Raw genomic sequence first — 13,088 nt, 5'->3', positions numbered from 1 at the left:
TATTCCTTCCTCACATGGTTTAAGAAGAACTGCCCTTTTGGTCGTAATGAAATACCCAGGGGACAGCCTGGGACATGTGAAGTTAGACTGAGGAGCCAGGGTATAGGGACGCAGGGTCTCATCTCTTGTTTCAGAATAGCGCACTGTTAATCTAAGTGCTGGGTGTCAGCAGGATAGATAATAGTACGATAAAGCTGACAATGATAATATTTATATTGGGAAGTAGAAAAGAAAGTCATATGCTGGAATCGTTCTCTCAAAGTAGGGAGAGAACTTATACTGGTTTTATACCTTTCTACTTTTCCTTCTTCCCTAAATTGTCTACAGAGATGGGAGCTTAGCCTAAAAATGTAATCAGATGGAAGGAGAAACAGTAATTTCAAAGCTTCTACCTGTGTTTTGTGCTGTGGAGGTGTGATGTAGTTGGTTCTCATTTAGCAGATCATCCGAGCTCAATCTGAGTAGGGGGTAGAAAATGAAACTCTAATTTATGAGAAATTTGGAGGTTTGAAGGCTAAGGTGGTAAGAGAGAGAGAAAGGTCTGAGGAGGCAAACCCTCAGGGATCGGAACCTACCTACGAGACATTCCCAGAGGCAGAGAAAGACCGTGGGTTTAGAGCAGCGTTGTTTAATATTCCATCTTAAATTAGTGACCATGTTGTGCTAGTATATGTGGATATTTCCCTCCATTAGCCCAAACCTTCAGTTGAAAGCTGGCTTTGTCCAATTGCTTTGTACTAATGGAACTTAAGGGGGAAAAGGAATGGAGCGTTTAGGTATAATGTGCATGTGTGAAGAAAGCATTGGGTTCAGTTTCCATTTTGAGGAAAATTCACAAGCTCATAGGTAGGGCAGCAGTGGCTGAGGCAGACACACAGGGATTGAGAATCCAATGAGATCAGAACATTTCATGAGAAAAGACCAGAGGGGTGACTCGGTGCTCCTGCCCCTCCCCTGGCCAACAATCCACACAGATATTTGTGGAGGGGAACTAGGTTTCTCACTGACCTTCAGACACATGCTTAAAACATTGATTTAGTATGTGAGAGGACACATGGGGTGATAATACCATGGGCATCAGGGGAGAAGCAAGCACAATCTAGCGGTCTTACTTCATCAACCAATTCCTATCTGCCAAGTATAAGAACCTTCCCCATGTCGTTTCATTCATTCTTTAAAGCAAGCCCAGTGATGGAATTCTATCAGTATCTGATTTTGTAAGCTTTATTTTAACAAAGCCAAAAATGCAATACTGACAAAGGAAAATTACTGATGGAGGCCAACTTTCTCTATCTTTAGATGAGAAAACTGAGATCCAAAAAGAATAAATGAATAACCCACTCACACCTGATAGTAGGTATCAGAGTCAAGTCAAAAAGGAGTCTGGAAACATTGCTAGATTTTAATTCTTTCACCAGAAGAGCAGAAGACTCAACAGCTCATCCATAAAGCATTTAAATAAACACTTAGGATATTGATCCTAAATGACAGCTTTCTTTCATGTCAATCTATCAGAAGTTTCTCTTTTATCGGATTCACTAGGTTGGCAGTGGCACTTTTTCTTCTCCTCCTCTTCTTCCTCCTCCTCTCCTTCTTCCTCTTTCTCCTTTTCCTTCTCCCCCTCCTACTTCTTGTTATTGCAACCACAGAAGAAAGACATGCTCTTCTAGCTGATTATTCCCATAATTCATTCTGTAATGGCAAAAGAAATAACTAAAAGCAGCCCTGGGCATATCAATAAGCCTTACCTGGTGATTGAATACCTCAGAATATATACTTACTAGACTCTACAGTTTTGTGCCACGTGCTAAGTCGGTATCCTCCTAATTGGGGAGTTTTGTCTGTAGGTCTTGGAACTAATTGAGCTAAATTTTGTACTCCCAATGAAGAGGAGAGATGGTAAATAAACAATACCGTGTGTGAGCCTAATTGGTTAGGCAATCAATCACAAGAAGTTTCCTCTCTTTAACAGAAGTTGAGTTTCCTGTTTGATAGACCAGGGCTCAGTGCCACACCCTGGCTTTCATTAAGGCATGAAACATTGTCTTGTTGTCAGGTGATTCTTGCTCTCACCCAGGGAAACATTCTTTCCTGGTATTTCATAAACCATAAGTCAGTTACACACACCATGACTTGAATAGTTTCCTAGACTCAGAAATGGGGAGTTTGAGTCTTTATTTCTTCTAGTTTATATTTGACTTATTCTTTCATACACTTGTAACAAAATTGAGACTATAAAGATTATCCTATAAAACCCCTTTTATTACCTGTTTTATTATCCTTAGTTGGATGAGAAAACTGCGGCTTGGTGTCTACTGTGTAGTAGGTGCTCAGTGAATATTTATTGAACCATTCAATAGACCCAAGCTGATGTTGAGTCACATGGCCGAGCTGTGATGGAAAACCGGTCTTGTAACTTCTTGCTCAAGGCCCTTTCTACTACATTACTATCCATCTCCCTTCAGCCTGAATACACACCTATCAGCTACCACTACAACTGTTCACAAAGGGGAAATTCCACGTGGGAGATGAGAGTCACAGGAGGAGCTTTGGTTCCTAAACATTTGCATAGGCATCTAGCTCAGGCAAATAGTTGAAAGGCACATTTAAAAAGATGTTGTAGTAAACAGAAGTAGGGCAAATAAGAACACCTCCTCTTTATCACACACACACACACACACACACACACACACACACACACACACCCCACACGTTTTCTTTCCTGAGTAGGAATCTAAGGGCTCCAGGTGGAAGAGGAGGCATGGGCAGAGAACGGCATACAGCAGGGCAGGTGGAAAGCGGTGACTGACATTTAGTTTAACCAGCCTTGACAATGGTTTCAAGGACACATGAAGCTCAAAGTAAGCAGGGGCTACAGGCAAGGTAAACAGGCTGTCTAATATTCTTATGAGGATGGGAAACATCATAGAATTATTAAAACTCTCTCAGGAAAGGAGACTATGAGAAGGGATTGTCCACTTTTATCCACATCTAGGATGCCATGCCCAGCCCTTCTTGCCTTCCTCCCACCTCAGCCCAACAGGCTCCAGTCTATTCCAAAGAGAAGTGTCTAACAGAATGAGTTAAGTATCAGCCAACTTTTTGAAAATATCAGCCTGGTCTGCTAGATCCTTTTCTGCTTGGGGACCTCTTCAAATGCTGCTGATTATCTTAACTCTGTTGTCATGTTCACCACTCTGGCCATTTTATCTGCTCCCTCTAGACCTCATGGGTTTATGCTTCTTCCAGAGAGCTTTCTAAAGAGACAAATAACATCAATCATCTGCCTATTAAACCAGAGGAGATTTATTGTTGATAGCCAAAATTATATTAATATATAAATTAGTAATACTTAATGATATTAGTTAATTAAGTATATCAGGAATGCTATACTTGCCAGCAGAGACAGCCTGTCAGTGGCTTCAGGCTGTCAGCATTCTTTTGTGTCACCCCTCTCTTATCATTGCTGTATAACTGTCAGTGGGTGCAGTAGCCAAACTCAGGAAGACATCCAGGGAAAGTGATTTCAGAGACTGGTAGGAATGGGATATTAGGAACTGTGGGCGCTAACACTGAAAAATCTGGTAGTTTTTCTTTTCTTTTCCTTTCTTTTTTTCTCTTTTCTTCTCTTTCTTTATTCTTTCTTTCTTTCTGTCTTTCTCTCTCTTTCTTCTTTGTTTCTTTCTCTTCATTTCTTCTCTCTGTTTCTTTCCCGCTTTCAATAATAATCACTCAGACTGTGTCCTTTCCCTTACTGTCCCAGAGGGAGACAAAAACAATCATCAGTGGCAAATGGTACTTGCAGCAAAGCAACACCAAGACCCAGCTTCACACTCAGGACAGAACACTGCATGTCCTCCTCATGGTTGCCAGTGTTCTACACGTTCAGGGGAACTTCTCTAGTAATGAGCTATAGAAATGATCCCTGAAAGTATAGTCTTAAATCTAGTCATTTCTTTTCTTGAATCACAGTCAGTATTTCTACTGACCAGAAATGCTGTCACTCAAATTGACCTGCAGATATGAATATTAGTAAGTCTAAGTGTGCAAAACCTGTGTTCCTCTAATTGCTAGCGAGCAGAGAGAAGGTCATAAAACAGCTCTTGACACAATGCAGAAAGTAGGAAAACTCCGAGACTGGCTAGTGACAAAACTTTAAGGAGGTTTCTTGCCATCTCTTTACCCAAAAACAAGAGATATTTTCCTGCTCATAAAGGTCAGGTGTTTGTGCCATTCTAGCATTCAGTTTTTGTGTCTGTCCAAGTGTGTGTAGGCTAAGTGTTTGAATCAGGCCTTGAGAAGTTTTATAAAATTCTGCCAGATCATGATCCATGAGCATAAGGATTATGCTGGTTTGTCGACCAACGCATTTTACACCACCCAGCACAGTGCCTGATATTTAGTAGGCCCTCAACTGACACTCCTTCCACAAACAAATAAGTGACAAAAATCCATGAATGGAACACCCTTTGGAATATTTGCTAGGCTTCTACATGGAATGCCTTTCCAGGTCTTTGCAAAGCAGGCTGCTTCTGCTTTTTCCAAACTCTTCCAATATTATCTTTTAGAGAAGATTTTCCTGAACGCTTCTTTTTTTTTTTTTTTTTTGAGATGGAGTCTCACTCTGTCACCCAGGCTAGAGTGCAGTGGTGCAATCTCAGCTCACTGCAACCTCCACCTCCCAGGTTCAAGCAATTCTCCTGTCTCAGCCTCCCGAGTAGCTGGGATTACAGGCACACACTACACACCAGGCTAATTTTTGTATTTTTAGTAGAGATGGGGTTTCACTCTGTTTGATCTCCTGACCTGAGGTGATCTGCCCCACTCAGCCTCCCAAAGTGCTGGGATTACAGGCATGAGCCACTGAGCCCAGCCTGAACCCTTTTTTTTTTCTTTTTTTTTTTTAGCGAAGTCTCGCTGTGTGCCTAGGCTGGAGTGCAGTGGTGTGATCTTGGCTCACTGCAACCTCCGCCTCCCGGGTTCAAGTGATTCTCCTACCTCAGCCTCCCAAGTAGCTGGGATTACAGGAGCACACCACCATGCCTGGCTAATTTTTGCATTTTTGGTAGAGATGGAGTTTCAGCATGTTGGCCAGGCTGCTCTTGAACTCCTGACCTCAAGTGATCCGCCTGCCTCAGCCTCCCAAATTGTTGAGATTACAGGTGTGAGCCACTGCACCCGGCCCTGAACCCTTCTTTAATATGACCTCAACCCACCCTGATCAATCTCACTTTCATCCTGTTTTATTTTGTTCATAGTTCTTATTATGATCCAATTACTTTTTTATGTGTTGATTGACTAGCTTGTTTAAAATATAAATTCCATGGGGCAAAGACTTTGTCTAGTTCTTTGGAAGAACTACGGTTCCTGGCATAGTGCCTGGTGCATGGTAGGCTCCTAATAAACTTGTTAAATTAATGAATTATTTAAAATGAAAGAATATATTCCTCTAGGTGTACCCTAAGGAAAAAGAAGTTTGCAACAAAAGCATTTCTCTTTTTCTCGTTTGGTTTAGAACTGGGAATCCTCTATTCCTTTCATCCCTCTTTTGTGTTGATCACAGTCCTCAAAACGTTTCTGTGGTTTCTGATATCTAATTGCCTTCTGCCTTCCCCTACCAATTCTCTCCCTATCCTTTGCTCTGATAGAGCAGCTTGTTTTCCTCCTGTGGTATTACTTGCTCTTACCATGCTGTTAAGAGATCAGCAGCCCCAGTAAAAGGACAACCTTGATGGGCAGAAGGCATCAATATATTTTGAATCACTCCACTAAAAGGTTTCTCCATATGGTTTCCATATCAGTTCCTAAGAGAACTGGTAACTAGTTACATATGCCCTACCTCTCTCACTCTCCAGTTTATCATTCAACATTCACAAACATTCCCACTCTTGAGCCTTGAGCCCTCTTAGACCACTTGGCCTCACTACCACATGCTTTAGTAGCCCTCTTTCATCACCTTAGCACCCAAAATGGTTCTTACTTTTCTTGTAGGGCCTTCGTTTTCATTTAGGTCAGTCTATTACTTTATCAAAGATGGAGGTCTACCTTCTCTTTCTTTAATTAAAGTCAATCAATATTTAAAGTATGTTGGGGCCTCAATAACTAAAGTTATTTCTACAGCTTCTGATGTATTTTCATATTTAAATCAACTGGGAGGAATCTAGAATTAACTTTAATAGTGAGTGGCACATTTATTTACACAAACTTTTCATGATCCCTGGTCTGCCACAGACTCCAAGAAGAGGAAGAGTTTACCATTTCTTATGTCACCAATTCTAACCATTAAAAATTAGTTCAAAGTTCACCATAAGAAGTGTAGTGGACAAACATCAAACTGACAGATATATTCACCCCATGTCTTGAGAATCTCCAAGGCCATCTTTATAAATGGCTTATATTATTTGTAGCTTTGTTTTTTCTTCACAAAGATTGTATGTTAGAGGACAAAGCATAATTTTTTGGTTTTCAGTTGAACACATCACAAGCCAGACCAGTATTATACAATGCACTGTTGAGCTAAAAACACAAATCTTGGTATGACTTAATAAAGCAGGTCTCATTTTTGTGTCCATCCCAACATACCTAAACGATATAGTATACTCCTATAGTTAATGGTGGCCCATTATGGCAGTGCTTCCTGTGTAAGGAACAGCTTGAATGATTTATTCAGTTAATTCTTATTCTCTACCCCCCCTCAAACACACACATCTCATACAGAACTGAAATATAGAATGAATCTTTATTTATCTAACCTTATTACTGAATAAGGGTATAGTTGTTATTTGGTATTCTTTGATTCCTAGCATGTATAAAATAAATACTCAAGTACCATTACTTGAACAATTTTGTGAGCAAAAGCCACATGCCACACAGTATCTGTGAGACTTGTAACCGAATGACACTTGAACACTTTAGTTCATGATTTTAACAAGCTACTTTTAAGAAAGGTCAATGCTTTTATAAGACCAAAAACTTAAATGGTGCAAAAAAGAATTTTGAACTGGAAAGGTGATGGCAAGTGCTTCGTGCCCAGAAGCGATCATCATTTGAAAAATAAAATCAAAACAATAATTGCTTGAAATGAATAATGAAATTGTGAGAATGATTTGGCTCATTTCATGTCATTGTCGTAATGAGAAGGCACTATCAAAATCACTCAGGGAATTTTTCCATTGAACATATACCTCTTCCCTCCAGCTTAGTATATCCCCATTTTCCAACCTCTATGTGTTTACCGAAAGATTTTCCAGGTGATCATAGAGGCTCCTTCATTTCTACTCCTTCTCTTGGAGTGAGCATTACAAATTCAGTTGGCATTAAGGCATTAGATGATTAAATAGAAAGTCTGAGTGGCTACTTTGAGGCTATATAGCATATAAAAGAAAAAAGACGACCTCAGAATTAACAAACCTGCAAATATAGCAAAGCAGCAAAAATTTATTAAAGTTCATCACGTTCCAGGTAGCACATAGTGAGCACTATTCATGTGCTAGCTGGCTTATTAATTTATTCTCTATTTATTCATGAAACAAATATCTATTAAGTGCATAAAATAGGTGCTGTGTGTACCGTGATATTCCAAATAGAGTTAGTCTTTGCTGTTTTACAGAATTCCCCAGCAGGAGTAAACTCCAGCTGTCCATAGTGGTGACCAGCTCATTAGTGTTTCCTTATTGGCTATTTGTTTTTCCTTGACCCAGTCTCCTATTCCTCTACCTGTGTTTCTGGGACAACCTTACAAATGAATAACTTGAATTCAAGTACTTATATGAAGGTTTGCTTCTGGGAGAACCTGAACTAAGACACCAGGGGAAGTGTACTTCAAGCAGAGGAAAAGGGAGATAAGAAAGCTCTAATCCTGGCCAAGAGCTCAGCATAGAGGGGCAGAGGAAAGGCAGGGTGGCCAGAGCACAATGAGCAGGGGGGTGCCGCGGGGGGACTGAAGAGGGGAACAACGGCCAAATGATGCCAGGGTCCTGGAAGCTGAGGTATCACTTTCTATTGTTGTAACAAATTACCATAAACTTTGTGGCTTAAAACAGCATAAAGTTATGATCCTACAGTTGTGGAAGTCAGAAGTACAAAACAGGTCTTTCTGGGCTAGAATCAGAACATTGGCAGGACTATGTTCCTTTCTAAAAGCCTAGAGGAGGATGCCTTTTCTGCCTGCCTTTTTTTGTTCATAACCCCCTTCCATCCTCGCAGCCAGCAGCGGTTAAGTCGGTTCAGTCCTTCTGACAATCCATCACTCTCTCTACTGTTCCCCTCTTACACTTCTGAGGATCCTTGTGATTACACTGGGCCCGCCTTGAAAATCCAGGCTTCTCTCCTCATTTTAGGGCCAGCTAATTAACAATTTAATTCCATCTGAAACCTTGATTCACCTTTGCCATGTGACCTAACATATTCACAGGTTCTGGATCTTTGGATGGGGGACATTGTTGCGTCTACATTAACCATGCAAAGGAGCTTGAATTTTTCAATGAAAGAGAGAAACCAATGGAGAATTGTAAGCTGGAGAGTGACAGCATCTACTTTGTGTTTTTAAGACATCCTTTTTGGCTCCTATGTGGTGAATCAATTGGAGAATGACAAGAGTGAGAATGGGAGGATTAATTAAGAAACTATTAAGGGACAAGCAGTGGCAGAGGACTAAGATGATGGTGTCAGAGCTTTTTGGAGGTTCAGTGAGCAGAATTTGGTGAAGGATTAGATCAGGGCCAAAAGAAAGAGGAAGGTTTCAAAAATAATTCCTAGATATCTCTCTTTAGCATTTGAGTGAATGGAGATGATGGTTTACTGACGTGGAAACATTGGTTTAGAAACATAAAACATTCAGGTTTCAACCAGCTCATTTTTAGATGCCTGTGAAATATATAAATGAATATAATCAAGTGTATATATATGAGTCTGGAATTCAAAACTAAAGTCTGGATTAAAGATATACATTTTTGAGCCACAGTCATAAATACAGTATTTATCACCAGGGAATTAGTGCAGTTACCACAGATGAGAAAAAGAGGTGAAAAATGAACAGGACAGGACCAGTCTTTTAGGCATAATACCATGTACTCCTGGAAATTATCTGCTCATTCTGCTATTCATTGCTTGTCTTCTCCTCTTTCTACTTTTGCTCTCTAGAACTTCTGTGTGCTGTTTGAATCTTCTCATTCCATACCACATGTCTCTGATCCTTTTATATTTTCCATTTATTTCTTCTTAGGCTGCCTTTTGGATAATTTTCTCAGTTCTGTCTTCCAATTATATGGTATTCTGTGCCTAATCTACTACTTAACACACTCATTGAGCTTTTTTTTAAATTCAGTGACTATACTTTTATTCCAGAAGTTCCATTTGGTCCTTTACAAAATTTGAGTTTCCTGTTCTCATATTTTTCTTTTCTTGTCTATTTGTTCTACACCTTCCTTCATCTTATCAAACATTTAAATTTTTCTTAAAGTCTCTTTTAGAATGTTTAATTTTTTTAGTTCTTGGGGGTACAATTGCCCCCATTTGTCATCTGCTATTTATTCCCCAGAGTGATTCATTTCCTTGAGTGTTTTGTGATGTCTGTGAGATCTATCCCAAGAGGGCTTATATTTGGTGGAAAGTTTGTGTGCCCTGAGCTGTGCACATTTTTCTCCACAGTTGTTTTTGCTCTGCCTCACTTAGCCCCTGGGAGTGCACCAGCTATGTATTAGTTTTAATGCGAAGAGCCTAAGCTTAGACATTATTTTTCATGGCTTGGTTTTTTCTTCCAAAGATTCCAAGCTGACAGCATATTTCTTTGCCTCCTTTCCAGGCTGGGAGGATTGGGGTTTTCTAATGCCCTTTTCATAGAGTTATGAATGGCTGGTTTTAGACTTGATAATCCCCACATGCAAAGAGTTTGTGGCTGGACCCCTAAACCAATATTACATATGGGAAGTAGAACCCCAGCCACAGCCATAAAGAATATATTACAACCATTAGTCAATTTTTTAAAAAAAGCTTTATTGAGGTATAATTGATATACAAAAAGCTGCACGTTTAATAGATACAATTCGATCAGTTTGGACATAGGCATACACCCGTGAAATCATCACCGCAAAGTAATACACATGTTCATCACCTCCAAAAGTTGTCTTGTGCTTCTTGTTTGTTGTTTCATTTTGTTTTGCTCTGCTTTTTGTTGCTGTGAGAACACTTAACATGTGATTTATCCTCTTAACAATTTCTCCCAGTTTTATTAAGGTATAATTGACAAATAAAAATTTTATATATTTTACAGTATATAATGTGATGTTTTGACATATAGATAGATAGATAGATAGATAGATAGATAGATAGATAGATAGATAGATCTTGTGAAATGATTGATTCAAGCTAATTAACATATCTATTGCCTCACATATGTTTTGGTCATAAGATCCACTCTCTTAGCAATTTTCAAGTATGTAATATATTATTATTAACTATAGTCACCATGCTGTACAATAGTTCTTTAGAACTTATTTATCCATTTAACTGAAAGTTCACACCCCCTTTATCCAACATGTTCTCATTCTCCCTCCTCTGCCTTAACCCTAGCAACCACCATTCTACTTTCTGCTTCTATGAGTTTGGCTTTCTTAGACTCCACATGTAAGTGAGATCTTTCAGTGTTTGTCTTTCTGTGCCTGGCTTATTTCGCTTAGCATAATGTATTCCAATTTTATCCATGTTGTCACAAATGGCAGGATTTTCTTTTCATAAGGCCAAATTGTATTCCATTGTATATTTATACCACATCTTCTTTATTCATTCATCCATCAGTGGACACTTGGGTTCATTCCATATCATAGCTATTGTGAATAATACTGCAATGAACTTGGGAGTGCAAATATCTCTTCAACATACTAATTTCATTTCTTTTGGATGTATTCCTATAAGTGGGATCCCTAGATAATATGGTGGCTCTATTTTTAATTTTTTGAGGAACTTCCATACTGTTCTCCATAATAGCTGTGCCAATTTACCCACAAATGTACAAGCATTCCCTTTTCTCCACATCCTCGCCAACGCTTGTTATCCTTTGTCTTTTTGATAATAGCTTTCTAACAGGTGTGAAAAGATATCTTATTGTGATTTTAATTTGCAATTCCCTGATAATCAGTGATGTTGAGTGAATAAGAGTGATTCATATATGTGTTGGCCATTATATGTTTCCTTTTGAGAAATATCTTTTCAGGTATTTTGCACATTTTTAAATCAGGTTGTTTGTTGCCTTGCAATTGAGTGGTTTGAGTTCCTTATGTACTTTGGACATTAGCTCTTTATCAGGAATATGGTTTGCAAGTTCTTTCTCCTACTCCATAGGTTGTCTCTTTACTCTGTTTATTGTTTCCTTTGCTATGGAGAGGCTTTTTAACTTGATTCAATCCCATTTGTCTATTTTTGCTTTGTTGCTTGTGCTTTTGGGGTCATATCCAAAAAATTATTGCCTAGATCAATGTCAAGAAGCTTTTTCTCTATGTTTTCTTCTAGTAGTTTTACAGTTTCAGATCTAATGTTTAAGTCTTTAATCCACTTTCAGTTGATTTTTGTATGTGGTATGAATTAAGGGTCTAATTACATTCTTCTGCATGTGGATATCCAGTTTTCTCAGCATTTATTGAAGAGACTGTCCTTTCCCCATTGTGTGTTCTTGGTAACTCTGTCAATGATCAACTGACTGTAAATAAATGAATTTATTTCTGGGTTCTTTCTTCTGTGTCATTGGTCTTTCTTAACAAATTTTTAAGTTCATAATGTAATGTTGTTAACTATAGGCACTATGCTGTATAGTGTATCTCTAGAACACATTCATCTAAAACTTTATCCCATTAAACAACCCTCTCTTTCTTCCTCCCCCCAGCCCCTGGCAACTACCCAAGAAGGAAGAAGTAAAATGAGCTCTGTTTGGAGATTACATAATTTTACAGGTAGAAAACCCTAAAGACTCCAAAAAAAAAAAAAAAACTATTAGAATGAATAAGTGAATTTGGTAAAGTTATAGGATACAAAATCTGCATACAAAAATCAGTTGTATTTCTATATACTAATAATGAACACCTAAAAAGGAAATTAAGAAAACAATTTCATATAATAGCATGCTTAGGTATAAAGTAAACCAAGGAGGTTAAAGACTTATACACAGCAACTTTAATTCTTTTACATCTAGCTCCGCTATGCTACCTTTGAGCTCCCCCTGTGGTAAATTTCCTCTCTTAGTTTACTGCTTGGCTGTGTATCCAAGAATTCTATGACTGGGTTGATTAAAAATCCCCACTTCGTAAGTTAGAAACAACAAACAACTTTTATTTTTTTAATAACTGCTACTAATTGTGTTGTATCCAATCCTTTTTCCCACTGGACATCTATCAGAAACTTTGAAAACTCCTCAATCTGATGTTATCACTTTTCAATTAATAAAATGATCTCATTTTTACTAATTCTTATGATTTTTCATTACAGAATTATAATCTCATACCCACAGCTCTTACCTTTCCTGCTAATGTGATGAAGCCAGCTTGAGACAGCTCACAAAAGCCTAGTGTGCATATTTCTTTCCAACTCAAAGTTCAGTGATGTGCTGTTGGAGCTTGACATTGGCCATGATGGGAGTATTTACACTATGGAAATCGTCAAATATTACAAGTCACATTTTCCTTCTAGAGAACCAGTTGTTAAACATTTACCAGCCCACCAATGCCCTGTCCCCCTCAAGACTAAAGATGTGGGTCCATTGTCAGTTTCTGTGTGTGAAGGGTGTTGAGGGGTAGGAAAAAAATATCATGGACTTAGTCTCCTATTGCTCACCCCATCCCTCCTCTGTGGCTAATAGTCTCATTTTGGTGCTGGAAGAGGGCTTTCCATTGCAAGTTAAATGTTTGCTTCTGTACTTCAATTTATGTCTTTTATGTGAACTTCTATGTTGGTGGTCATGAATTTGCCGTCACATTTCTGTTAGTCATCACAACTGACCTAGGCCTTTGTCTAGGTCTCAGGTAAGTGAGGCCCAACAGGTCCTAGTGATGTAATACAATCTCAAAGAGATTTCAAGGTACCACCCAACTCTTTGAGACTAG

At 38.8% G+C, this 13,088-nt stretch overlaps 1 non-coding gene across 1 annotated transcript; it reads right to left on the bottom strand.

Annotated features, from left to right (window-relative positions):
• Nucleotides 1-3,727: 3,727 nt before the first annotated feature.
• Nucleotides 3,728-3,941, bottom strand: LOC124901220 (small nucleolar RNA U3). Its single transcript, XR_007059179.1, has one exon. It is a non-coding gene; the product is annotated as a small nucleolar RNA U3 (small nucleolar RNA).
• Nucleotides 3,942-13,088: the final 9,147 nt, after the last annotated feature.

This window comes from Homo sapiens, chromosome 5 (assembly GCF_000001405.40).
Source record: "Homo sapiens chromosome 5, GRCh38.p14 Primary Assembly".
Taxonomy (NCBI): domain Eukaryota; kingdom Metazoa; phylum Chordata; class Mammalia; order Primates; family Hominidae; genus Homo; species Homo sapiens.
Note: the sequence above shows the minus strand (reverse complement) of the source record. Positions and strands in the feature narration are given on the sequence as shown.